This window comes from Homo sapiens, chromosome 1 (genome assembly GCF_000001405.40).
Source record: "Homo sapiens chromosome 1, GRCh38.p14 Primary Assembly".
In the NCBI taxonomy this organism is placed as follows: Eukaryota; Metazoa; Chordata; class Mammalia; order Primates; family Hominidae; genus Homo; species Homo sapiens.
Window position 1 is genome coordinate 169,588,230 of NC_000001.11, and position 27,550 is coordinate 169,615,779.

General features: G+C 40.0%; 1 protein-coding gene across 7 annotated transcripts in view, besides 1 other annotated feature; it reads right to left on the reverse strand.

Moving 5' to 3' along the window:
- The window catches only part of SELP (selectin P), a 41,276-nt gene continuing 14,345 nt past the window's right edge, over positions 620–27,550 (reverse strand). The window contains exons 4-17 of one of the 7 annotated variants that reach the window (NM_003005.4): positions 25,357–25,464; positions 24,700–24,885; positions 23,988–24,173; positions 23,263–23,448; positions 21,275–21,460; positions 18,720–18,905; positions 14,797–14,982; positions 8,762–8,947; positions 7,696–7,905; positions 6,463–6,648; positions 5,376–5,495; positions 3,197–3,227; positions 1,918–1,973; positions 620–1,232 (exon numbers count right to left, since the gene is read on the reverse strand). In NM_003005.4, the coding sequence (NP_002996.2) occupies positions 1,919–1,973; positions 3,197–3,227; positions 5,376–5,495; positions 6,463–6,648; positions 7,696–7,905; positions 8,762–8,947; positions 14,797–14,982; positions 18,720–18,905; positions 21,275–21,460; positions 23,263–23,448; positions 23,988–24,173; positions 24,700–24,885; positions 25,357–25,464 (2,012 nt within the window). In that variant the 3' untranslated portion in view covers positions 620–1,232; position 1,918. Of the gene's footprint in view, positions 1,641–1,917; positions 1,974–3,196; positions 3,228–5,375; positions 5,496–6,462; positions 6,649–7,695; positions 7,906–8,761; positions 8,948–14,796; positions 14,983–18,719; positions 18,906–21,274; positions 21,461–23,262; positions 23,449–23,987; positions 24,174–24,699; positions 24,886–25,356; positions 25,465–27,550 lie in introns of all 7 variants that reach the window. The other 6 variants (XM_005245435.3, XM_005245436.5, XM_047427583.1 and 3 more) reach the window with 6 other exon arrangements.
- Positions 16,640–16,749: an enhancer, noted in NCBI's record as "active region_2075". NCBI's record gives its function as "activates an Ori minimal core promoter by ATAC-STARR-seq in GM12878 lymphoblastoid cells {active_cell/tissue: GM12878}" and the evidence as "EXISTENCE:reporter gene assay evidence [ECO:0000049][PMID:35858748]".

Below are 27,550 nucleotides of genomic sequence, written 5' to 3' on the forward strand. Positions count from 1 at the left end.
CAGGGGAACTTTTACAAAATGTAGATTCTGACTCAGGAAACAGGGTTGAGACCAAAGTCCTAGAACACCTAGCCTACTGATTGACATTTAAATAAGCAGTCAGAGATGCTACTGGCAGTGTATCAGAGAAACGTTTTGAAAGCACTGTGTCCCTAAATCCCAAGGTTACTACCAGAATTGTTGCAACATTATTGTAACCTTTGAGTAGGCTGCTTTTTTATTTGCATGTTTGCTTATGTATATACAGTGTACATGACATATTTATTTAATTACATTTTACAGAGACAAGATGACTACTATAATTTTTGGCTCTCTATTTTTTTTAACATCAGTTCCAGATAAATACTATATAACTTTCAATGACCTATTTATTAAACATGGGATTTAAAGAACATGTAAAACACATTTGTTCTTCCCTGTAAAATATTAAGGTGATGAAGAATTTTTCCATTTCTCTGATTTTCTCTTGCAGTGTAGGGTGTGCGATACATATTTGCTGACTGAATGAATGGTTGAGGTGTAAATAGGACAACCATAATTGTGTGTTATTACACTGATGGTAAACAATGTGATGTATACAGACCTTACTGAACAAACCATAAAATAGAGGAACACGGCATTTGGGGAAAATTCTTTTAATTACGCATTTGAATATTGGTCTTTGGGTCATTTGAGGGACAGTGACTGGTGGCAGGAAGGTCCACGGTGACATGTGGCCTTCTAGCTTGATTCTTGGCCTTCTGCAGCCTCTGGTGCCATCCAGAGGACTCTCTGGAAGCCTCAGAGCAGAGGTCCAAGAGGCCTCATCAACAGCAACCACTGGAGACTCCAGAAGATGCTACAGGAATTTCTTCCAATTAGAGATGCCACCTGCTTTCCAACAAAGTGGAGAAAACCTTCCTTCAATCAAAAAATAAAGAGGTATTTTTATTTCTCCACAGTCTGGTCTTCTTGTGAGTCAGATGCTCCAGTCTCTTTGGTTCACTGGTATTTCAAGTAACAGGTGAGTCAAAGCACAGAGACTACTGCAGAAACATTTGCTCCTGGCTTCTGTGGCTTGTGTTACAGGAAGAGAAGAGGTGGGACAGGAAGGGGTGGTAGGTTGAGAATTTGAGATTGTACCACAATCCCAAACTCAGGAAACAGGGTTGGTCCAGAGCGGGTCCAACAGGCTGGTCCAGAGCTAATCTAAGGTAATTCCATGTCTTTGATTCATGGGTGTTTATGGAAACCTGCAGCAAATGCATTATAGTTAAGTCCAGTGTAGCAGGAAACTTGATGTTCACAACAGGATCATATGGAGGCTGAATGAGGAGACCAGGAAAAGGACAGGTCTCTGGAAATGAGACCAAAGAAATTTAAATAATTATCATTTCCTTAAAAAAATAAAAGAAAGAAAAAAATTGCTCATCATATCTACACCCTGAGGCGCAGCATAATCTTTTCTTTCTAGATTTCGAATATTCTGCCATTCAGGCTTTTTGTAGGACACTCAACTACCCACTTTTTGGGAGAGGGATAGCATCAGATTATTTTTGTTTTTCCAGCAGGTAGCATAGGGAATTGACTCCATAACAGTTCGTAAACATTTTTCAGCAGTCCTGACTTCTGCTTTGCAGGCAAGGCCACATCATCACCACCTAGCAGTTAATAATGGAAATGTTACACATCCTGAAATAAGTTATGTCTTGTTAGGACATTTCTGTCCTGGAGGAAATGAAAATCCTTTTGTGAACTCTTTTGTAACTCCATTGTCATACCTGTGTCCTACTGCCAACACAATTTCCTTCATGCCTGAAAATTTAATACATACTTAAAATTTAATATATGATTATGTAAAGAAAAGTTAAGCTTTATAGTCTTCCATTTTTCCCTAGTGTTCTATTTCCTTCAAAAATATCTTTATAGGGATCTTACCTTAAGGACTCGGGTCAAATGCAGCGTTTGTAAAAACTCCATATGTTCCTAGGTGGCTAAAGAACAGAAACACAAGGATGGCAACAATATACTGCTTAGTTCTCGACAACACAGTCCAACACATAGTATTTCCAGAAACCACAAATTACCATCCACCCTTGGAATTCTGCTTTAGAAAGGAAAGAAAAATAAATGCCAAAGAAATATTCGATATCCCACTTACCAGCTCTGGGTAATTTGCATTGCATTTTGCACCCACACTAAGTTATTGTTCATGCTTTATGTACTGAATACCTGTTATACCCTCTAAGTTGCTGCAACCTCTTCTAGGTGACAAGAGGTAGTTACAAAATTCTTGGCATTAACACTTGATAATCTAACGATAGTTTTCAAAGGGTGCAATATGACCCCTAGGGGTGTTTTTTGATTTTTATAACCAAGAGTTCTTCCGATATTGAGTGGGTATGGGGCAAGGGTGCTGGATGTCTACGACAATAGAGTTCATATAAGGATTTCCATGTCCTCCAGGACGGAAATGTCTTTAAAAGATATCCAGCACCCCTGCCTCCTGCCCACTCAATGTCAGTAGAACTCTTGTTCATTACAAAAATAAAAAAATACCCTTGGGGGCATACTGTCCCTTTTTGAAAACTATTGCTAGATTATAAATAGCAAGGGGTACAGGACACAAAAGAATTGTCCAACATCCCACATAACTTTGGAATATCTGCTCGATATTCATACAGGTTAAAAATCTCTGAGCCTGGAACTCAAGCACTTTACATGTAAATATTAAGCATTTTTTTGCATCTTTAAAATGCAATTGCCATATGAATCAAAGGACAATTATCACAGGTTTTCAGACTCTTTACCGGAGTTGTTCACCATGTTGAAAAATTAGGCTGGTGTTGGCCACAGTTCTAATGCTCTTTGAGTCACTAATACAACATTCCCCCATCAGTCCACCTGCGTGGGCGTTGCTTTCCTAGTGATTCTGTGGAAGGTGCACGCTTCTGATGACCTCATTGCATCTACTGGCACAGCGCCTAAGTTTTTGCATCTTGTTTTTATTATAAATTACTTTTCATTTTATTCCTACTTTATATTTTAATTAGAATATTTGTTATCTGTGTATTTTACTTCAGAGTAGAAAAGAAGACATTGCAAAAGACATTGTAAAAAGGAGGCAGGCATTGCATGTAATCATTCTGACATATTACAGTGAATTATAAAGTTAAGGTAGCAAAATTTACTCAATCATAAAACATTTCTACCTTACCTGTGAGGATTCAAGGGGCATTTCCCATCATCTAAAATCAGCAAGAAGACAAGAATGAATGATTAAAAAAAAAAAACAAGATGAAAGAGAGGGTCATTAAGGATAGAAATTACTGGGGAAAACCAGTAGACTGATTTTCAGGAGGGCTCATTATAAGGGGAATATTGGGAACAGTTTCTCCCTGAAAGGTAGAAAGTGTTTTAGGCTAAATTAAACATTCGACAATATTTAACTCCAGAGTCCTGTCACTTTCTTCCTCCTTCCTTTCAGTAAATACATAAATCAATTTCTTTTGAGGGCATCTTGTGTCACTTGCCCTCAGCCCTTAGCTGAGCAAGCTAATCACATACATGAATCCAAACCAACAGAACAGTGGATGTTTTTCCTCCCTGGTAGCATATTTTTATCCAAATAACAGACTCTCATAGTTGAATTTTCAGCTATGGCTGCAGCATTTTCCTCTTATTTGGCCATAGAAAACTTCAAAGCCTAAAATCAAATTGGGAGAAGCTGAGGAAAAAAGCTCCCATCCCCAACAAATGAATGTATTTATTATTAAAAATATTGGGGCATGAGTGGCCATTTGTCCTTCTCCACTGTTAGAGGGTCCTCTGGAAATGTCTCAAAGTCAAAGAAAGGACTTGGGGGAAACATCAAGATTAGAGTGATTCCTACATGATCATAGAGATTAAGGTCTAGGAGCTCTTGCCTCTGCCTTCTGGGTTTGGTTGAGCAAGCACACATTTTGCATGGAGGGATTCACTGTAGCTCTCAGTACATCTCTTTGGTATTGAAGCAGAGTATTGACCTTTGTCTATTGTCTTAGCCACTCACAGGAGAGTATATGAAGGAAATTTGGAAAAACAGCCTCAATGTTTTGGTAGCATTGTAAATGGAGAAAGAATAAGAGTAAGGAACACGTGGTTTTGCCTCTGAGCAGTTAAGAATAGGTGTTGAGACCTATGTCAACAATAGAGAAATTCAATGAGATCTCTTTCAGATATTTTAACATAGCCACTTTCCATTACCTTGATTTGAGCAATTAATGGTCTCTCTGATGCCCCCAGTTACTTTCTATGAGGAGTGATGAAGAAGAGCCCCATTAGGTTATAAACAAAACTTTATGAACTTATAGGCAGGCTAAGTGTCTGGAGAAGATTGAGAAAGGATGTTTTAAACCTTAAGAGATGGGATGTTCCCATCTTTAATTCCTAGACTAAAGTTCTTTTTCTGATGAACAGTCTGATGAACACAGTTTCCCTTACAGAGAGTTTTCATCTATTTGGTCTTCTCTGTTTAAATCCTGCATCAACTTTACAAATTTTCAGGAGAAAAAGCAAATCTCTTAGCTTATCACACCAGGTCACCAATACAGGGGCAGCTTCTTCTGCCCCTAACTTCATCTCCTGCCTCCTCCATAATCCCCTTTTGATTCAGATGCACTGAACTGCGAAACATACCATCTTCTCATTGATTTTACACTTTCATGTCTTTCTACATGCCATTTTCTCTGATGGAACTCTATTTCCATTTTCCCCTTGGCTAAATGCCTCTCATTCTTCAAAGCTAAGCTTGAAAAAGGCTTTCTGACCTGCCAGTCTGGTTTAGGCATCCCTAGTCTATGTTCTAATAATACCTAGGTTGTATTTGTGTCCTAACACACTTACTACACTTCACTACCGGCACTGATTTCACCTGTCTCCCCTACTGGATTTTTCCTTCCTTAATATCAGAAACCATCATTATGAGTCTCACACTCTAACAGAGTTGATGAATAAATGACTGCTACATGAAGAAATGAGTGAAGTCAGGAAGCATAACACCTTTCTAATTAGCTTTAGTGATAGCCTAGGGTACTTAGACCAGAGGCCCCAAATGCAAAACTGCAAAGTAGCCTCATTTGAATTTTGGGAGAGAGCTTTTGAAAAATTCAGATTTCCACACCCACTACCAAGTCTCCCCATAGAAGGATCTATATTTTTAGGAAGTTCCCTAGGTGATTCTAATGGACAATCAGTTCTCAAGATCACTTATCTTGGCTTTATTTTCTTTTAATGCAAATGTTTTCCAACATGAACTACTGAAGTTGTGGTTTTTGCCTCCCCACCCTAAATTACATAAATCAATTTCTTTTGATTTATGTAACCAAGATGCAAAGAGAAGACTCTTTCCTATTTACCTTTTTGTCTGAAACGCTTTCTTAGCAAAGCCAGGAGCGTCCCACCCATTATCAGACCTATCGTAGAAGCCACCGCTCCACCAAAGTAAGTCAGGGCTTCCTGGATAGTCAATGGTCCTGCTACAAAACAAACACACACACATGCAAGACATAAGAAGTGTATTATGCAAAAGACTAGTCTTTCTCTCCCAGAAAGTTTTCAAGAACTCTAAGATGTGCGATCAAGTAGGATCACCAAAGGTCCTGGGAATGCTGACAAGCTAACATGAAAGAAGATCTGGAATTCATAAATCCACTGCAACAGAATGGGAAGTGGGGCCTTATTTTATTCCTAAGGCTTAAATATAGACTGTAATTTCCAAAGGAATCAGGGTGAGGACCCAATAAAAGAAATTAAATTGTAGACACAAGAAGCCTATACATGTAAGTATGGGCAAATAAAATAAAAGTGGGGCCTTAATTTATTCCTAAGACTTAAATATAAACTGTAATTTCCAAAAGAATTAGGGTAAGGTCCCAATAAAAGAAATTAAATTGTAGACATAAGAAGCCTATACATGTAAGTTTAGGCAAATAAAATAAACTGTGCATAATTTTTTGGCAAAGATTCAGTTATGTAACAAAAGGCAGTCAGGACAAGCTATGAGGGGAAAAAATAGGGGGCTGAAATATACCTTGCAAACAGATGGAATTTAATTAAGGAAGATCTGCTAGGAGGTTTTTAGAGTTAGGTGGTAAGCAAAGGTCTTCTGAGATAATAAATTAGAAATCTGCATGAAATAACTCCCAGTTTAAAACATTTTGAAACTTCAAGGTCTGTTAAACAGAGATTATAACGAAGCAAAAGGTTTCATTTCACAAACTGAACACTGAAGAGGAGGGGTGATTACCTACACAGTCACTGGGTTTAATTTCCACTACTTTATAAGGCAAGGAGATTCTGCCTGATTCATTGTGAAACACTTATTAAGCAGGGGGAAACCCGGGGATGGAAAGCAAGACCACTATGAGAAAGACACAGGGAAGAAACACTGATTTTGTTATTTTCCACATCAAAGTGACTTCTTAACCCACATGAAAATTGTACCTTGGCAGGTTGGCACGGTAGTTGACCAGTGGCCATTCTCTTGGCATGCTGTTTGTGCAGAGCCATTAAGTAACTGGCCCTCTAGACAATGGAAAGAGCAGATTGATCCATAACTGAAGTTTCCCCAGAGGTTGGAGCAGTTCATCGCTATTGGCTTATTAACATGTAGTTCTGAGCATTTCACAGCTGCAGAAAAGAAATAATGCAAGAGAAACAACATGTGGATTGGAGGTGAAAGAGATTATAGTTTCTTTTGTAACCTAACATTGCCAATAAATGAGGCAGAATGTAAAAGGTCAGAAAGGATATGAGCCACTTCCAATATTCACAGTAGCTCTTCTAACAGCACATATATGAAAATATTCTCTCGAAGGGTGATATCCAAAGAACCAAGATGCAAAGATGGACACATAGTAGCATCCGACAAATACCTGCTAATGCATTGATAAATCTTGCCTCCAAATATACTATTTACAAAATTTTGGTTCTTAAAATACTGTTAGTCTAAATGTTATTACTACATTTGTGATCAACTGGCATGTCAGTATGTGTTTATTGAAATACTTAATAAGTGTTCAGCATATCTGGACACTGGAAGTTTGAAAGAAGTAGACTGTCATCCTCCTTAAACTACATTTTCAGGGAACTTCAGGGTTATTCTTTCTAATTTATGGATAGGAAATTAAAGGTCAAGAAATTAGATTTAATTCAAATAAATGTTATTTATCAGTAGTGACATTTGCAAAGCACTGTGCTATGTTTTGTGGGGGATACAAAAATGAAAGAAACATAGGTCTCAATGCTTTATGTGTAGGGCGATAGCTCTTCAGGAAATATCATGTATGGCTTAACTTTTTATTTAGGTTCAAATTATTATGAAAATATGGAATGTTTATACTGTCACATAATATGCAACTTCTAGTTTACCAATTTCTATAGCAGGTTTTACATTTAATATGTCTATTTTTCTAACACATCTTGGACATCTGCAAATGTTTCTTCCTTTAAGTCTCTGAGTACTTGTGTATTAGCTTTAGCTTGTGACATGAGGAAGGACAGAAGTGAAATGCCTGTGACACATTACTTCTAATGGGATTGGTGTGGATTTCATAAGGGAGATGACACTTGGAGTAGTGGTTGTGGTTGGGTGAGACTTCAACATACAGGCACAATGGCTAGCTTGAGTACTTGCAGGAAGGCAGGTTCAGAACTGCCTGCTCCTTTTCACCTTACCTCTGCATGCTGGAGTTACTGCTGTCCATTGTCCTGAAGGTCTGCAGCTGAGAGTGCTGTCTCCTATGAGTGTGAATCCAGCGTTGCAGCCAAAGTAACAAGTGGTATTAAAACCAAAGGTTCCCGGATGATGCCTACAGTACATGGTTCCCTGCCCAGGAGTGGTGAGGGCTGGACATTGCACCCCTGGAGTAGGAAGTGATGCTATGCCTGTTGTGAGAAAATGTTTCCATTCAGAGACCTCCCAATTAAAAGAAGCGTTAACAGAGTTAAGGCTAATCTGGAATAACTGCTTTTCACTCCCTTCATAACAAGGGAGGCTCCTGCAAGAGCTATTTAAGGAAGTTAAGAAAAACTATCAGTGTCAGAGATAGAAAACCAGATGAGGAAAATTATTAAAAATCATCCTTGAGGAGATGATTCTCCTGGCCAAGAGAAGAAATCAGAGGAGTCATTGTTGTTGCTATTTTAAAAAGAAGCAAGAAATGGTACAGAAATATAAGAAATTCAGCAGAAAGCCAAATATACATGGGCCAACTGCCTGCCCAACCCTGCCTTATTGGGAAATGGTACTGTTCTCTGACTAAAGGTCAATGTGAAAGTTGAAATTTACTGCAATGATTGCTTTCTGTCTCAAACTATTTCTTCCATTTGAATGATCCCACCAGCTTTGTCATTAACTTGCCATGTGGCAGGAAGATGATGATTGACCTCTCTGCACCTCAATTCCTAGATTTGAAAAACTGGACCAGTGACTCTACCCCAGTATTGTCTGTTTCTCTCAGCAATAAATTAATGGAGACCATTCCGTTCACTCAACAAAGCTCTTTCAAAAAAAGAAGCCATGAAACAAAATTCCTGCTTAAGAATCAATATACCTTTTATTCACAAACATAAAAATATCCTGTCACTCCTTAGACATTTTAAAATCCTTCAGCTGTTTGCTAAACCCAAATAATGGTAATATATACAATTATCTAGTTCACATATAAGAACTAGATAATTGTTTGTTGTTGTAGAATAAATTTCCAAAAGTAGAACTGTCTTAGCAAGTACATATTATTACCTTTGCAGGTTGGTGGAGTAGCTGACCATCTTCCAGAAGTTGTGCATTCCACATTATTGGGCCCCTCCAGCTTAAAGCCGTTGTCACAAGAGAAATGGCAGGTGGAGCCAACATTGAATTCTCCACGAGTGTCAGAACAATCCAGGCTGCCCTGCTCTGGGGCAAAGAGTTCTGGGCACTTGATGGCTAGAGTATCAAATTAAGAGTGTCACAATCTCCAAGTTTATTCAGAAGTTCTGTGTTACACAAAGTTCATTCACTTATATATTCAAAAAATATTTATTAAGCACCTATATTCCAGGTATTTTGCTAGGCAGCAGCATTCCACAACATATCATGTAGGTCATTTGCTGCAAAGGGCAGTGGGAGGATGGTAAGCTTACAGAGAAGAGTATAGGTACAAGTCACGAAGACAAAGAAGTCAAAGATTTAGGCAGCCATACTCAAGAACTTACAATGTCACCCTATTTTCTCTACACCCTCTGCTTCAGAGACCTCGTAGCCTGCCGCAGCTCCCTCTATCTTACTTGAATGGGTGCAATCCAGGATTTCATTTCCGCCCTTCCTCTTGCCTGAGACTACTTGCTCCCATATATCATGCCATCTTCTCAAATTCAACACACCTAAAACTGCAATGATTGCTTTCTGCCTCAAACTATTTCTTCCATTTGAATCTCCTCACTAATTGTTTTGTTTATTTTGCTGTTGTATTTTAATACCACCCATCCAGATAACACAGGAAAACTCAAAACCTCCTGGTCAAGATAGATTAGTTTCTTGGAATTCCCTGAAGTGACTTTGTGTGTTATTGCTTCTGGTTCTTGGCTCACATTCCCCTGAGAATTTTTCCACTTTTATGGCGTAAAATCCCACTAATCCTCCAGGATTTAACTCGTAAAGTCTCTGAAGACTCTGCTGATCACCACAGCCTGAACTCTTCTCCTCTGAATTCTTCAACTTTTTGTCTGAACTGATGTGCTGTCATGTCCCATGTCATACCCTCACTCTTCTACTGGATGGGAAAGTGTCTAAAACCCAAGAATGATTCATCCTTGAGTCTTCCATAACTCCCATCCCAGGATCTCAAGAGGCAGTGCTCAGTAACCACTTGCCAAGTGAATGAATAAATGAATTTAAATTTTAATTCACAATTTCCCCCCAAAAGTATTTTTACAAATTATTGCAGTTACATATTTTCTTAGCATTATTCTTTTCTCCCCATTAATTCTCTAATATAAGACTATTATTTATCAATAAATGTTGGGTTATAGACAAATGAAGTGACTATTCTTTCTTTAAATCTAAGGCTATTCTGACAACAATACCTTGGTCAGATAAGTCTCATTTACTTAGATAGTTTGATTTTTACAAACCTCTTCAAGACCTATATGCTCCCTCATGGAAAACCAATGTACAGTATTTGGCTTTTACATACTGGCCCATGTATTTTTCAGTAACAAGCTATTCATTGAAGGATTATGGATTCTTATTGCATGAATCCATTCAAATAGCCAAAATAACACAGTGAATTTCAGTTCAGTACTCTCAAATTGTTGAGTAATTAACAACTTCATATCTGACACATCAAATCAATTTACTAAACCTTTTTGAAACATGTCTACTGGTGTAACTCCTAGACATGAAGTCATCTGTGAACATTTTCACAAAAATAACTTTTTCATAATCTCCCAGAATTACAACTTTAAACTGAAGAATATGTATAATGTCAGCTGCAGGAAAGCAGGGACCTTGTCAGTTCTTTGAACACTGTATCCCAGAGAACAGGGCCTGACACATAGGAGGGGTTCTACAAATACTTATGAATTGAATGAATACAGTAATGAATACAATTTAATTTAAATGCATTCTAAAAGGTATGCCTACCTGGTTTGAAAAGAAACAAGAGGAATTACTGTTTTTAAAAATTAACCGAAGGGGGCCCTAGTATAAAATGAGAACTACTACAGCATTAAATTCATTTGGGGGATAGTGCTTTGGTTTCAGTCTTATCAGTCATGCTCAGCCAAGGTTACATATCCAGACTTTCATATTTATAAAAGTCTCTGAACTCTCTCAGGTAAAAATTAACCTTGACCCTTACATACTAAGAATTTGGCTCTGGATCATGTAAAGAAGTGGGTTTACCTGTTTGAGGGGCAGCCTAGATGAGTTACATGGAAGCCTAACCCAGATCCGGCATATGGTGGGCACTCAGCAAACATGGGATGAATGACATTTGTGGAGTTATCAAGGATGCTGCTGGAATGGAGATTAGTGCAGATGCAGGAAAAGAGTTATACCCAGGAATGACTTTTGTGCATAACTTTGAGAAGTGGTCATATTCTTGAGCCTACTCTAAAACTTTGGCAAAAAAAAAAAAACTCCTGAATAATTACAAAAATAGAAAACAGATAAGGTTTGCATTTATTGCACGCTTAGTGTTCTATTTTCACTGACTACCAAGGCAGTTCTATCACATATGGGTATTCATTGGTGTTCTTCTATAGTCCATCAAGAAAGTATACATGATTGCATCTGAATTCTTAAACATATTGATTTATATTATTTCAAATAGATTTAGTAAATTATCTGTTTCCTTTCATTATATCATTTTACTTGAGTTTGATAGAGTTTTCTCAATAATTTTCTGGAAAGAAGATATAGTATGAATAATAAATGTATCTGAGTTGAATATTGTAAACTCAAACTTTAGGAATAAAACTAGGAAGCCCCACAGATTCAGAGAAATGTTGGGGGAATGAAGAAAAAAATGGAGATGTCAGCTGGGCCAGAGTTTTAGGGGGCACCAGTTCACCATATTTTAGGACGTGAGTAAGCAGGCACATGGCAGAAGAGCAGAGTTGAGGTTGGGACTTGGAACCAGGACCCCTCCCCACGCAGTGAAAATAGACATTAGGAGTTGGGTTCAGCAGCCAAACATGGTCACCAGAGGATCAATGACAGACAGTGTTAAGGGATTAGGAATTCAGCAGTCTGTATCATGAAAGTGGTCCAACAGGCAGGGACAGGAGGGATACGGAAACTGTGTACAAGCACTCCATCATGCAGGTGGCATCATCAAAGTTGGCACAAGAACCTCAAGCACTGCTTAGGCTCATGAAAAGGACTTCAGGTCCTGAAGGGCAAAGGCAGAGACAAGGCTGAAAAATAACCGACTCTCTGTATCCAAGGGTTCTGCATCTACGGATTCAACTCGTTGTGGATCAAAAACATTCAGAAAAAAAATAAATTATATAAAGTTCCAAAAAGCAAAACTTGAATTTGCCATGTGCTGAGTATGTTGAATCCATGCAGATGAAGTGATGTGTAGGCTTTGCATTAGGTATTATACGTAATCTAAAGACGGTTTAAAAGTCTAAAGGAGAATGTATGTAGGTTATATGCAAATATTATGCCATTTTATATAAGTGACTTGGGCATCTGGGGATTCTGGTATCTGCAGGGAGTCCTGGAACCAATTCCCCCTGCAGATACTGAGGAACAACTAGGCAGAGGCCACATCCCAGAGGGCCCAGGGAACCGGCATTCTAACTAAAGTGGAACTATCGGTAGAGCCATCCCCCAAAATGAAATCTCACATTGCACTCTGAAGAGACAGCTTGAGAACTCCACCTGCCACACTGCCTCTGCTTACTTGGAGGCCCCTGAGTCCATCTGATGTATCCTAGAACTCTGCAAAACACCATGTGAAAATTGGGGTTCTAGGGGGCAGTGCTGAGGGTTAAAAATTAATGGGTTCAGGCATATGGGAAAATAAGAGGAACCATTTGCCTAAATTTAGAGCATAAATTTGGAGAACGAAGAAGAAACACAAATGCAAAAACCAGGGCTCAAGATCAGGATCAGTCAAGGTTGATAATTCCAAGGGCCATAGTGGGTTAAAGCTGCTGTTCATGGTCAGGGTTGGGTCTTGACAGTGAGTGGGGATGGGGCCTGCAAAGTGGGAGGCAAATGCCTCCTCCTGCAGAGAAAGGGGGGCTGGAAAGTAGTGAAGGGAAGCAAGGGCTTTAGAGATTACAGATTTAGCAGCCATGTTGGTTGCCTACATGATTTAAAATGTGAATGAGATTTTTAAAGGTTTTTTTAAATATTCTTTAGCCTTAAAATGTGGGAAAATAGAACTTATGAGAAATGTCAATGGAATAAATGAATAAGAGAGTGAGGAATAAATGAATGAGTGAAAAACCACAAGCCCAAATGCTTTCCTCCATACATGTTCTAGAATTCTCAGGGAACTTGTAGTATATCTTTTTGACAGCAGATGGTAGCATTTTATGTCTTTCACCCTACAGAATTCTTGACCAGGGAAGCGACCTCAAAGATGGTCTGGTCCACTCTTCTCCTTTTGGAATTGAGAAAACGGGAGCCTAAGGGTGTGACAAGACTTTCCTAATGGCACATGACTTGGAGAGAGAGCAATACAAGTCTTTGGATATTAATCTAGTGCTCATTCCACAGGAAGGAATAAATAATATTTTAGCTGTTTTTGTGTAACACGAATAGATTTCTACCAACATATTCTCTCATCTGATCACCAGGCACTGCCATTTCTAAAGTTCATTTAGCAGTTATAGCTGCAATCTGTGGAGTGGAAAAGAGTAAATTCACAAGTGACTTACCTGAGATTCAGAAGCTCTGCCACTGGGTGATAGTGTAGTTCAGTGGTCAAAACACTAGCCCTATAATCAGACTAGGCCTGGGTTTGCATCCTGTCTCCATACTTCAAGCTATATGAACTTTGCTAGCTACTTAACCTCTCAAAGCCTCAGTTTCTTCACCTTTAAAATGGGCATAGTAATAACCAACTTAAGGGTCATTTGTGTGGATTGAATGTGATGATGCTTATGAAATAGGTAGTCCTACATTAAGCAATAATTATTACCATTATCACTGGTCTCATTATTACTAACTCTACACTGAACAATACATTAGAACAATAGCACCTTTTGCAACTAAACAGGAGCTATGAATTAATTAATTCAGTGCACTTCTATTTTAGAACATAAAATATACTAGATACTTTGCCAGCCAGATGTCTCAGGGGAATTAAAGACAGATAAGATCTGGCCCCTGCCTTTGAGAATTCCACTAAATTACCAAAGCTTGTGTTTGAGTAAATTTTACTGGTAAATGATCACCTTCAATTCAACAGATATTTGTCACACACACCCATTTTTATTCTGTCTAGCTGCTGCAGGGGGTATAAAGATGAAGAAGGCACAGCTCCTGCCTTCAAGAAGCTTATATTCAATATAGAAGTGGAGAGAGGAGGGAAGTGCACACATAGTTATGCTAGGGTTAAATCTCACCCATCCCTAAATAAGGTCTGTGGCTGGGATTTAGTAATGCTCAGTTGAAGGTGAATGTAGGAATGAAGAAATGAAGAATGTAGCTGAAGAAGACTCTGTAAGGAAGTAAAACTTTCAGTGACATAGAGCTGAGCCTTTTCACTTACTAACAGTGTGACCCTGGACGAGTTATTTAACCTCTTTAAGCTTGTGTCTCTTCCTTATCTATAAAATGAGATGATACTGCCTTTCCTTATTATTTTAGAATTGTGGTAAACAGGAATGCTATAATGACATGAAAGCACTTCCTGAAACTGTGCAATTTTTTTTTGAGACAGAGTCTCACTCTGTCACCAGGCTGGAGTGCAATGGCACAATCTCAGCTCACTGCAACCTCCACCTCCTGGGTTCAAGCGATTCTCCTGCCTCAGCCTCCCGAGTAGCTGGGACTACAGGCATGCACCACCATGCCCAGCTATTTTTTGTATTTTTAGTAGAAACGGGGTTTCACCATGTTGGCCAGGATGTTCTTGAAACTGTGGAATATTTAACTAAAGCTATTAAAATATTATTTAAAGAGAGGGAGAACTTTTTTATCTAGATTACCATTGTTGTGGAGAGTGTTGTTTGCTTCAGCTCAAGAACACTTTTATATAAATCCCTGATGATTCTCCATTCTCTGATGTCATCTTTAAAGCCATAAGAAAGGACAGACCCACAGCCTACCTTCACACATTGGTGGGGAGTCTGTCCAGCGTCCCGATCGAGTACAATCCAATCTTTCTGGTCCAGACAAAGAATATCCCTCGTCACAGATGAATTGACATGTGGATTTATAACTGGAACTTCCAAGAGGTTGAACACAGGTCATTGTTCCATTCTGAGGGCTTAGCAAAGGTGTGCAGGGAATGGCTATCATGGGCATGGCAGAGGAGAAAAGAAGAGATCATTTTATAATTCAGCAACCTGAACTCTGTAACTCTCTCTCTCTTTCTCCCTCTCTCTCTCTGTGTGTGTGTGTGTGTGTGTGTGTGTGTGTGTGTGTGTGTGATTAATATACAACGATGGTATTTGGCTAAAAGTGATTGTTTGAATTTCATGATGCTTCATCACCAGTTAGAGATTGTAGAGGTGTAAAATAGCAGCAGCTTACAGTTGATTGACATCCTGAAGTGCTCAATCACAAACAGCTTTAGAGGTGATTTTTAAAGGAAGCTGGTGCTCTGTTTGGGAGGATAGTGGTGCAACTCATTTTTGTTGCTTCTAGACAGGGGTGGAACTGGTTTCTCCCTTGATACCTTCTTCAGAAACACCCCAATGACCTTACCAGAAAACAATGACAAATGATTGGAAACACAGAAATGGAGGAAAATACTTTCTTCCCCCTTTCCCAACCAAGTGGTGGAATCTGCGCCCAAATTTTGGCTCTGTTACTTGCTAGCAATCTATCACTAGACAATAACCTTTCTGAGCCTCAGTTGCTTTATCTTCGAAATGGGAAAAAGGAAAATCCTTGCATATGTGCCACATTTTCTTAATCCAGTCCATCATTGTTGGACATTTGGGTTGGTTCCAAGTCTTTGCTATTTTGAATAGTGCCGCAATAAACATACCTGTGCATGTGTCTTGGTAGCAACATGATTTATAATCCTTTGGGTATATACCCAGTCATGGGATGGCTAGGTCAAATGGCATTTCTAGTTCCAGATCCCTGAGGAATTGCCACACTGACTTCCACCATGGTTGAACTAGTTTACAGTCCCACCAACAGTGTAAAAGTGTTCCTATTTCTCCACATCCTCTCCAGCACCTGTTGTTTCCTGACTTTTTAATGATCGCCATTCTAACTGGTGTGAGATGGTATCTCATTGTGGTTTTGATTTGCATTTCTCTGATGGCCAGTGATGATGAGCATTTTTTCATGTGTCTTTTGGCTGCATAAATGTCTTCTTTTGAGAAGTGTCTGTTCATATCCTTTGCCCACTTTTTGATGGGGTTGTTTGTTTTTTTCTTGTAAATTTGTTTGAGTTCATTGTAGATTCTGGATATTAGCCCTTTGTCAGATGAGTAGATTGCAAAAATGTTCTCCCATTCTGTAGGTTGCCTGTTCACTCTGATGGTAGTTTCTTTTGCTGTGCAGAAGCTCTTTAGTTTAATTAGATCCCATTTGTCAATTTTGGCTTTTATTGCCATTGCTTTTGGTGTTTTAGACATGAAGTCCTTGCTCCTAGGGTCATTTTTCAGCCACTGACTTAAACAGCATGAGGTTTCAAGAACACTTTCTACGCCTTTCTCTTCCCTTCATTCCTTCCCCTCTCTAGCTACATTCCTTTCAATCTGATCAACTTGTCCAAAGATCTGGTTCTTTTCTTCTAGTTGAAAAGTATTTCTGTAGTAAGTGTGTATGTGGGGCTGGAGAGGACACAACTCAAGAAGCCTATAAACTGCAAGGACTTATGGGGGAAAGGGTGTGGGTGAGGATGTTGGTACCACAGAACCCATTTCCAGCTCTTCTGTGGCTTTGCCTTCTGACAGCAGGGGTAGATGTGGAGGGGTGGGAGGACATTAAAAAGGGAAATTGTCTGATAACACTCTCTCAGAAGTATTACAACAGCGAGTGGATTGCACACTGCATGGTACCTTCCTGCCCAGCCCACATTTGGGTATTTCACTTGATGTGCACCCAGCAACAAGAGGAGAAAGTTCAGAGTAAATAAAGAACTAAAAGCAGAAGGGAACTGGAAGGTCACAGGAAGCCGTGGTGAGTGGCAACCTCCTTGCTGTGAAACACCCAGAGGCAGGACAGTATGGAGCAATGAACTGTAATCTGTGCCCTGCACCACCCAGGCTTGCCTGTAAGAGTTTCAATCACTGTGATCACTGTCCTCAGGGATTCCCAGTTCTTCCCACAACTTCCCCAAAGTTGTGTGGACTTTGTGATATGTCCAGACTTCAACGTAGCCAGGATGAGCACTTAAGGGGCAAGGTCACAGCCCCGCCCTGTTCTCTCCAGACCCAGCTCTGAAGGTGCACCCAACCCTAAGTCCAGGGGCTTGCCATCCTCTCTGGTGCCTGGCGATGAAGGACATTCAATTCTGCTGTTTGCTTGTCCATTTGTTCATTCATTCATTCATTCATTCATTCATTCATTTACTGTTGACCTAGCTTAACAATGGGGTGTGTGTGTGGGGGGTGTGTGTGTGTGTATGTGATTATGCTTTTGTGTGACCTGAATAGTGAGTGGTTTCCTTTTAGTAAAAAATATGTATCTGCCCACTTTCACTCAAATGTTGAAAGTCTATACAAAGTGAAAGGTATGGCAAATAATGTAGAACTGTCTAGTCTTTTACCCATTCAACTTTATTGTTAAAATTGTATATACATCATAAAAATATTAATTGCATAGGAGGAAAAGCGGAGAAAATATTGGAAGAATTCATACCAGAAGCCTAACAGTGTCTATTTTAGGATAGGAGTATTTAAGAGGATATTTCTTCATTTCTTTATTATATTTCTGCAGATTTTTATAAATGAAAATCTTGCGTTTAAAAAGCAGCATTGTCTATAAAAGTTAACTAAGGAATTGGATACATTGAGGGGGAAAAAGCTTGGGGAATATAAAAAATATACGTCTATCCTTCAATTCACAAACATGGATGACTAGAACCCGTTCAAGTTCATACAAGATGTTGCAATACTGACAGAGCACACTGGCTTGTTAAATATCAAGTACAAGGCCGGGAGCAGTGGCTCACACCTGTAATACCAGCACTGTGGGAGGCCGAGTCAGGCAGATCACCTGAGGTCAGGAGTTTGAGACCAGCCTAGCTAAGATGGTGAAACCTCATCTCTACCAAAAATACAAAAATTAGCTGGGTGCAGTGGTGGGCACCTGTAGTCCCAGCTACTCGGGAAGCTGAGACAGGAGAATTGCTTGAACCCGGGAGGCGGAGGTTGCAGTGGGCCGAGATTGTGCCATTACACTCCAGCCTGGGCGACAGAGTGAGACTCCGTCTCAAAAAATGTATGTATATCAAGTACAATGCAGATAGAATGTTTATACTGAATCCACACATTTCTTTCTTCTGAGAATCCCGTAACCTCCAGTATACAGATTAGTTTTTCTCTTTTTTCTATCACTCTTCACCTTATTCTAAGTCTATTTCTCCAATTTTATACAGATCTTGGAGTGTTTGCAACTGGGTACTTGTAAATTCTGCCCCTCCCATTTTACCATTATACCCTGTGGTTCCTAGAAGTGCCAGACCAGCCTTGGGACAACCACTCTGAAGCAATTTTTTTCCCACCTGGTCTTCTTTCCAGATGCCATGTTTGGCCAGGTGAGAAGAGTTTACCTGGTTTGTGGCAGGAGCCTTCAGGTCTGGGTAAAGACCCTGATAAGGAGTTAGCAAGGGCCATGCCCTACTGTCTATGGCCAGACATCCTGACACTTGTGTAATCTGCCTATCCCCCGGAGGCATTTGCATTTGGGATCCTTGGGTTATAGGACAAGAGGATGAGTGAGAGTATTTATGAATTTTCCAGTCCATTTCAAGGTGGATCTTACATAGTTGTCACCTCTAAAATCCAGCCTTTAAAAATACTGCCTACAATTTATTTCCATGATGTTAGAAAGAATACACTCTTACCTTGGCATTCTGGAGGAACAGAATTCCAGTTTCCAGTAGCCAAGCACTGTAGCACACTTGCTCCCACCAGGAGCAAGCCTTCATTGCAGGTGAAGCTGCAGACTGACTGGTACCTAAAGGCACCGAAGGGGTGGGAGCAGTTCACCCGGGCCTCATTTGGAACTGGGAGATCCTGGCACTGCAAAGCTAAGGGATGAGGAAGTAAGGAATAAAGAAACAGTAATACACATGTACTCATTGATTTTTGACCATTAACTCTTTCTAGTGTCAAGAACAGGGATTCCTGAATTGGGCTTGTTTAACATAGAAGATAAGAAAAAGTGTCATTTAATTATAACGGCACATGAAGGATTTTATTAGGAAATGCTAAACCTTTGTTGAGCATCTTGGCAACATGTGTCAATAATTTTTAAGTTATCATGCTTTTGGACCCAAGAATTTATGCTAAGTATGTAATCAAGATGCATACCAAAAAATCTATTTAGAGATTTTTGTGAAGACATTATTTGTAAGAGCGGAATATTGAAAACAAACACAAATGCCATTAATTGAGGGTGGAAATTAATGATGGTGGATCCATGAAAAGAATGTTAAAGGTCACTAAAAATAATATATTTTAACTTGTAAAGATAGGAGAGAGGTCTCAATGTATGATGTTAAATAAAAAATCAGAGTAAAAATTATAATATACACCATGATCTCAAAGATGTAAAATAAATAACCATATACGAAGAGAGCACACATATTCCATGTGTTGTCTCTTCTCATCTTTAAAATGGTAGTAATAATTGTAACTACCTCATAGAGTTAGACTGAGATCATAGAAAGTGCTCAATGAACATTAGCTGCTATATTAGTAGCAGTGGTAGTAATAGATAGTAATAATATCATTAAGGCTTTGCGTCACATGCAGACACTGAGTTCAGGAGTGGGAAACATTCAGAAGGCCTATGAAGGGGGTTAGTGAGACCACATCTCTGGATACTTAAGAGAATATCCAACTATCTTTTCTTGATTAGACATTTACCTTCCTGGAGACAACAATGGCTTGAATAATCCCTTATGATCCGTTTTAAGTGTGTCAAAGAGCTCATTGTGTCTTTTTCTCCCAGATAACATATACAATACATTCCATAACTCAGACTAAGTGTCAGCATCATGGTGTATAGCCATCTATTCTATTGCCTTCTTGTTTTTTCTTTTTTTTTTTTTTTGCTGTTCAATTTTTTATTATAGTGAGATATACGTAGCATGAAATTTAATTTACCATTTACCATGTCACCAATATCAAGTGTACAGTTCAGTGGTATTAAGCACATTCATATTATTGTGCCACCATCACCATTATTCATCTCCAAAACTCTTTTCATCATCTCAAACTGAAACTCCGTATCCATTAAACCATAACTCCCTATTTCCCTCTTCCGCCGAGCCCTTGGCAACCTCCGTTCTACTTTCTGTCTCTATGACTTTGACTACTCTAAGTTCCTCATATGAGTGGAATCATACAGTATTTGTCCTTTCATAGTGGCTTATTTCACTTAGCATAATGTCTTCAAGGTTCATTCATGTTTGTAGCAGAGGTCAGAATTTACTTCCTCTTTAAGGTTGAATAATATTCCACTGTAAGTATGTGGAATACTTTTTACTTATCCTTTCATCCATTGATGGGTGTTTGGGTTGCTTCCACATTTTAACTGTTGTGATTAATAGTGCTATGAACATGGGTGCACAAATATCTCTTCAAGACCTGCTTTCAAACCACTGCCTCATTTTAAAATCAAGGTATACTTAGGAACCCAGAGGAGTCACATAGATTGCTCAGAGGTCTCCGTAAATGAAAACACAAAATGTCAATATTACACTTCTGGAACATGACTTTAGTGTGAGGTACTCCTCGTAAAAAAAATAATAATCCTTGTGAACCACCACACCCGCCCCCCATGAGTGCCTTAGTATAAGAGCAAAAGATTAGAAACCTAACATATTGAAAGAGGATCATTTTGTCAAATCAGACCACAGACATGTGATTTATAAGGTAACATGTCATCATCATCATTTTCCCTATAAATCCTATAAGAGTTTTAAAGTTGCGTTTACACACATTAATTCACAACTACTAGTGAGGCAGGTAGGTAAGGCTGATAATAGTAGCCCCATTTTACAGAAGATACTGAGCCTCAGAGAGTCTAAACCACTAGCTTAAGGACAGGAAGTGACAGGACTGAGCTAAACACCTTGTCCATTACCCTTCCCCATCCCATGCTATTCCTCATGCATGATTTATTCCCCCAAGCCCCATCTTCTTCATTCCAATGCACCCTATATGTGTCAATCAGTGCAAACCTCACCTTGACTATACTATAGTGGACATGTGCCTAAGACTGGCTTCACGCACCGTTTCATCTCATCCCTGGTCCCAAGCACAAAGGACATGGCCCATAGTAGGTTCTCAGTGAATATCTGATAAAGAAAGGCATGCCAATGCTCAGTGCAGATGCTGATGCCTCTAACGAGCTGAGACACACAGAAAAACATTACCACTGTTACAGTACCTTGACAGACTGGGGCTGGTGCTGTCCACTGTCCCAAGTTATCACACCGAACTATATCGGCTCCTCTCAGCATGAAACCTTCAGCACAGCGGAAGCTACAGTTGGTGTCATACTGAAACGCTCTCAAGGATGGAGAGCAATCCATGCTTCCGTGGACAGGACTCTCCAGCGGCTCACACGAAATAGCTAAGTGGAAAAGGTATCTTCTAAAGCCAGGTAATGGAAGGGCCGGGTTCTTCCTCAGAAAAAATTCCTAGATGCTATATCTTTCCTGTCCACATTTTCAGTGTGTTCAGAACCCTAAAACCTCCATTTTCCAAAAGAGAGACTGCCTGGAACACCTTCCCATGCCCCTCTTGGCCTGACTCACTCTCACCTGCCCTTCAGGTCTCAGCTTAGACTTCCCTTTCCTTAGGAAGCCCTCCCTTCCCACCTTAACTAAGGGTAGAAGCCCCTGCAATGTGCTCCCACAGCCTCTGTTCTTGCGCTGTTCATACATGATTGTCATTCTTCCCCATTATACCGTGGTCTCCTCGAAGTTGGGCTCAGTCATTCATAGTTTTATTCTGGAGCTGAGCAGAGTGTTTTGTACATTGAAAGTGCTCATTAAATATTGACATTATCTGTGAAATTGAACCTGAAAAGAGTATATACAGGAAAATGCTGGACTTATAGGGAAAAAAAAAAAAGCTGGACTAGCATAGCTTATTGTTGACACTGTTACCTAGTCCTGTAAAATGATCCTGACCGGGCTTTGTCTCTAGAACACAGGATGTCATCCTAATCAGACTTCAGTTGCCAAGTGAGTGCAGCCAAAGTGAATTCCTGAGCACAATTAAGCCCTGAGTGACCTCAGTTCTGATAAAGATTGGTTTCCTCATGCTCTTCCTTGATAAAGCATTTCATTTCCAGGCTATTTCTGAAACTTTTCAAAGTGTAAAGACTACCTCTTTGCTCTGGGCTTTGACCTCTGGTTTTTACAGACTCAGAGCATTTAAGAACCAAAAATCCGGCTGAGCACAATGGCTCACACCTATAATCCCAGCACTTTGAGAGGCTGATGTGAGTGAATCACTTGAGGTCGGGAGTTTGAGACCAGCCTGGCCAAAGTGGTGAAACCCTAGTCTCTATTAAAAATACAAAAAGTTGCCTGTAATCCTAGCTATTCGGGAGGCTGAGGCAGGAGAATCGTTTGAACCTGGGAGGCAGAGGTTGCAGTGAGCTGAGATCGTGCCACTGCACTTCAGCCTGGGCGACAGAGTGAGACTCTGTCTCAAAACAAACAAACAAACAAACAAACAAACAAACAAACAAAAACACCAAAATCCTCTAGTGTTTCTCTCTTCTCTCTTATGTTTTAGGCAAGAAAAGTGAGGTTCAGAAGTGTTAAGTGACTTCTCTAAAGTCTCATAGCTAGATAGTAGCAGGGTTGGGCTTGTCATCCAGGTCTGGGAATTCACTAATCTATCGTAAATTTCCTATTCTCCCATTACCACTGTCCGCCTTATAAACTGAGGGTGTGAGGCAATTGCAGAGAATTCATTTTGGCGGAATTATGTAATTGCCTGGGATTGCATCACACACTTTTTCGATGCAGTGTTCCTTCCTTTGCTTCTTTGTCAAAGGCTACCCTCAAAGACTACATGGTGAACCACTCTCTTTAGCCACCTTAGCCGCTGCTCCCAACTCCCTCTCAAGTATAGGACATGGTCCTATACCTCGGATATGTCAGTAGAGCAGAAGCTCTATGCTAGGTACTTTATACATGCTATTTAATTGTATACTTTTTATGTACTTAATCCTCACAAGCACCTTGCAATTCTTAGCTCCATTTCACAGATGAGAAAACCATGGTTCCTGGAGGTTGAAGAGCTTGCTCTAGTGCAAGAACTTAGAAGAGATCACCCCGACACTGAGAGCCCTTGGCCTCTCTACCATGCCATGATTCCTTCTTGGACAGAATGGAGGTTGCTAATGAAAAATCCTACCCTCACAGGTTGGCAAGGGTGCAGACCAGTGTCCAGAGTCAATGCAGCGGAGCATGTCCAAGCCCCTCACTCTGTAGCCGGGCTGGCACTCAAATTTACAGCTGGAGCCATAGGCAAAAGCAGTGAGCGGATGAACACAGTCCATGGTTCCTTCACTGGGGGCTTCCAGGTGCTGACACTGCACAGCTGGAGAGAATAACCAAGGATAAAGAGAAAGATACTGAGAAAGGAGAAAAGCCACACAGAGAGCAATGGTGGAACCACCTCTGAAATGCAGGTGGAGCTAGCAAGATGTAAAGGTCAAGAGACCCTAATGATGTTTGTCCAGACTTGGATTACCAGTTCCCAGGGTGATCTGAGTCTGTTAAAAACAAAGATTCCTCCAAGCTGTATTCTTAATGTCCTCTATTCCCTATACTTCTATAAACCTGTCTCAGTAGGTCTTCTAGTGTCCACTTATAGATGTAGAGGCCACCCTTTCTAATCTTATGGGGAAATTATGAATGAGGCCATTCTGAAACTGCCTGCATTTGTGTTTGGGGAAAGAAAGGAATTTTTTTCCTTTCTCATCTCAGATGAACCCAATCTAGCTGAATGGCAGGTAGGAAGAGAATTAAATTTTGGCAATTCAGGCCAGCTTCTCCATAAGCTGGTCAATTTCATCTATGCACTAAGTAAGGACTGGGTGCAATGGACATTATACATCCCAACTACCTGAAACTCACCTTTACACACTGGGGCTGGGGCTGTCCATACCCCCGAGGCTGTGCATTGCACCACTTCCGGTCCAACTAATGCAAATCCCTCTTCACAACTGAAGCTGCAGCTAGACTGATGCTGGAATGCTTTTGCAGAATGAAGGCAGGTCATGTTTCCTCGTTCAGGAATCTTCAGGGGTGGGCACTGGGCAGCTAAAACCAACCACAGAATAATAGTGTGAGTCCTTGGACAAATTTTGTCCATCACCTTGGAAGCCTTCAAATTCTGCAGCAGTCACACCTTCCCAAAGTGGCAGGCAGGTTGATGCACTAGAATGGTTAAATGGTGTTTTCAATAGCTGCTTGGAAAGATCAAACACCCTTGTTTTTCATGTAGAGAAGTTAGGTAAAATTATCAAATTAATAATTCTTAACCCCTAAGTCCTCATCATTGTACTCTGTTTACTTTACAATTAACAAAGGGAAAGAGGGGTCCCTTTGTAATGTTTTTGCCTGCGAATCAACAATTAAACTGACTAAGTCACTCTACCCATAAAAAAATACCATGAAAATTGAAATTAATGTTACTCTGGTTGACAGTTAACAGTGATAACCAGAGTTTTCCATCTAACCTAGATGGTCATTATTTCTCACATTTTTTAATGGAGAAAGCTCATTGTGTCCTCTTCTCCCCCAAAATTCTATGTCAGTGAGGATGAAAAGAATAAGGTCTACATACCTAAACACTGTGGAGGCTTATTTGTCCAGATTCCAGAAGCCAAGCATTCCAGCTTGCTGGGCCCATTTACTTGGTACCCGTCAGTGCAGTGGAAGCTGCACTGCGAGTTAAAAGAGAAGTTTCCCAGAGGGTGGCTGCAGTTCATGAGCACGTGTTGAGGGAGCTCAAGTTCTCCACACTCTCTCACTGCAGGAGACAAAATAGTGATTTTTATTTTCCATGTAGAATTAACAGCAATGTCATGTTTGCTGAAAGCTGTAACTATTTGTGTAACCCTCTTAACTCTAATTTTCTAAACTTTTAACCCAAGCTATCCATCTCTACTTGGTCTCTTTGTATTGGCTGCATCTTGGGAAATAGTCATTCTTTCACAAGTTTTTACTTCAAACAAGTAAAATTAGCCTGAAAGTTCTGTTGGTTTTGCTTCCTTTCCCTTTCCCTTTTCTTTTTTGAAATTTATGAGTCAATGTTTTCTCCCAAGAATAAAATGTTTTTACCTAGAGTGTGTGTCTAGGGACACTGAGTGGAGGAGACAGATGATAGAGGGGGGCTGGTACCATCCTATTCTCACTGGAGAGACTTCAACATGATTTATTTACTTCTTGGCATCATCTCTAGCATAAAACCAAAATAATATCAACAAAAAGGAAGCCTCACCGTATTCACATTCTGGCCCATAGAATCCAGGGTAACAGGAGCAGGTGTAGTTCCCGATGGTCTCGAGGCACTCTCCTTGTTTGCTGCAGGACATGTCCTGGCAGGAGGCTGCATAGATATGGAAAGGTCAGAGTCATGGACATTCACAGATGTGAGGAAAGGCTGAATTCTCGTTTTGACCACAGACTCATCCCCTCTCAGATAGGACTGAGCTAGCCAGACAAGAGGGAAGCACAGTATCTTCTAGAGAGCCAACCTGTCCCTTGTGAAAAGCATTGTAGGGGCCTGCTGGAGTATTGCGTGGCTCCCATTTCATACTGCATTTAGTATTTCCTAAGGAGGGTATTGTTGTGTGTGGACACAGAGGGACAAATGGAGCCAATGACAGATGTGTGGACAGAGAAACCCTATGTGGTACAAAATGGGCTGTGGTTTTCAAACCAAGCATTGTTTTATTATGGAAGCCCAATGTCACGTATTACTGCATTGAGGTTAGGCACCAGATGTGGGGCGTGGGGTCACACAGGTGTGATATGAATCCTGGCTCTGCTGCCTACTTGCTATGTGACCTTAGGCAAGTTACTTCTCTGAGCTCAGCTTGCACAGTGTTAGAGCCCAAACCCTTTCACCTTTCATTTGCTTCAAATCTATGTCCAGAATCCTACAGTGGAGAAACAGAGGAGCCAAATGAGATGTTTAAGACGTACTCATGGTAAAGGACAAACAATCTTATGAGGTGATGTTTCATGAGTCTGAATACAGCAGGCGAAGAGAGTACTGACTATGGCTGAACTGCCATGTCCTCTTCACCAAGATAGTGCCACTCAGGTGACAGAATAGAGAAGGGCCATGGTTTCTTTCCTGCAAGAAAGTATTTTAGGGTATATGCACTTGATGAGAATTAGTATTAGAATTGATACTTTCAAAGCACTGAGATGTTTTTATTAATGAGGTCATAGTTGGGGGTAAGTTCTATGGCTGAACTGTTTTCTGGTGGTTACTTCCTCTGTCTTAAGCCCTGTCCACATGCTGGTTCACTTGGAAGTATATTACAAAAGAATATCCATATGTCATATGTGGATATGCTGTGCTACATGATCTCTATGTTTCCTCTCAATTCTGAGATACTAAAATTCTATAAACCATGCAAGGTTCTATAGGAAGAAGTTCCTGTGGCAGCCAGTGAATTTGGTGAAGCTGCACTGAGACACTGGGAAGGGTTCAAATAAAGAGAAGATGTAGGAGGCAATAGCAGCTAAATGGATACAGGTTTGGTCCACATCCTATTCACTTCGCTCCCTGACCTTAACCCCACCAATGTCTTAATACCTTACAGTAGCAACCCCTGCCTGCCCTATGTTCTTGGAGCATACAAATGTTTCCCCAATTATAGCTTCCTTGGGATCTCAGAACTCTAGGGGAAAAAAAGAGACAATGTTCTGTATTCTATCCCATTTCAGGGTTTCCTGAATAGATAGGTTAGCAATTTGTCTATTCCTTTGGATCTCCAGGGAGAAGATGATTTATTCATGATGATTCAATGAATAAATCTTTTTTCGATAGCCTGCTCTGAGGTCTAATAATTCCTGACATGTGGAGAATTATTCCAACAATCAAACTTAATTTCATATTACAGTAAATATATCTATTTCTCATCTCCCATGGATAATTGATGCTTCTCTACATCCTTTACATCTTAGATGGCAAAACGACAATCAATGGTAGTGGCTGCTTAGAGTACTGTGTTGGTGGAGATAAAACCCATCTGTGTTCAGGTAAAGTTGTATTAATTAGTGATGTCTCTACCACTGTTGTGGGTTAGAGGAGTGTCATCATTTATGCCAGTAATTTTTTATCTTTTTTCTATCTTGCAATTTTTTTGGCAAGCTTTATTGAGGAAGACTGTCTTGCAGAAATGGATTTTGAAGGTTGGGTGTGAAGGGGAAGTAGTGGCATATTGAAACAGCTAGTGGCAGTCAAGGTTATCTGATAAGAGATAATTCTAGGGAGGCATAGCCCAGAAAGGGGTAGAGAGCTGACTGGGAGAGCAGTAGGATGAGCTAATATCCTGGTAATGTCCATCCTGATCCATGAATATATGCTCAATTAATCAATTTATTTATATATAAATGCATTATTTATAAAGTAGATCTGATTATATGATAATGCATTCATGGATATGTTTTGCCTCAGC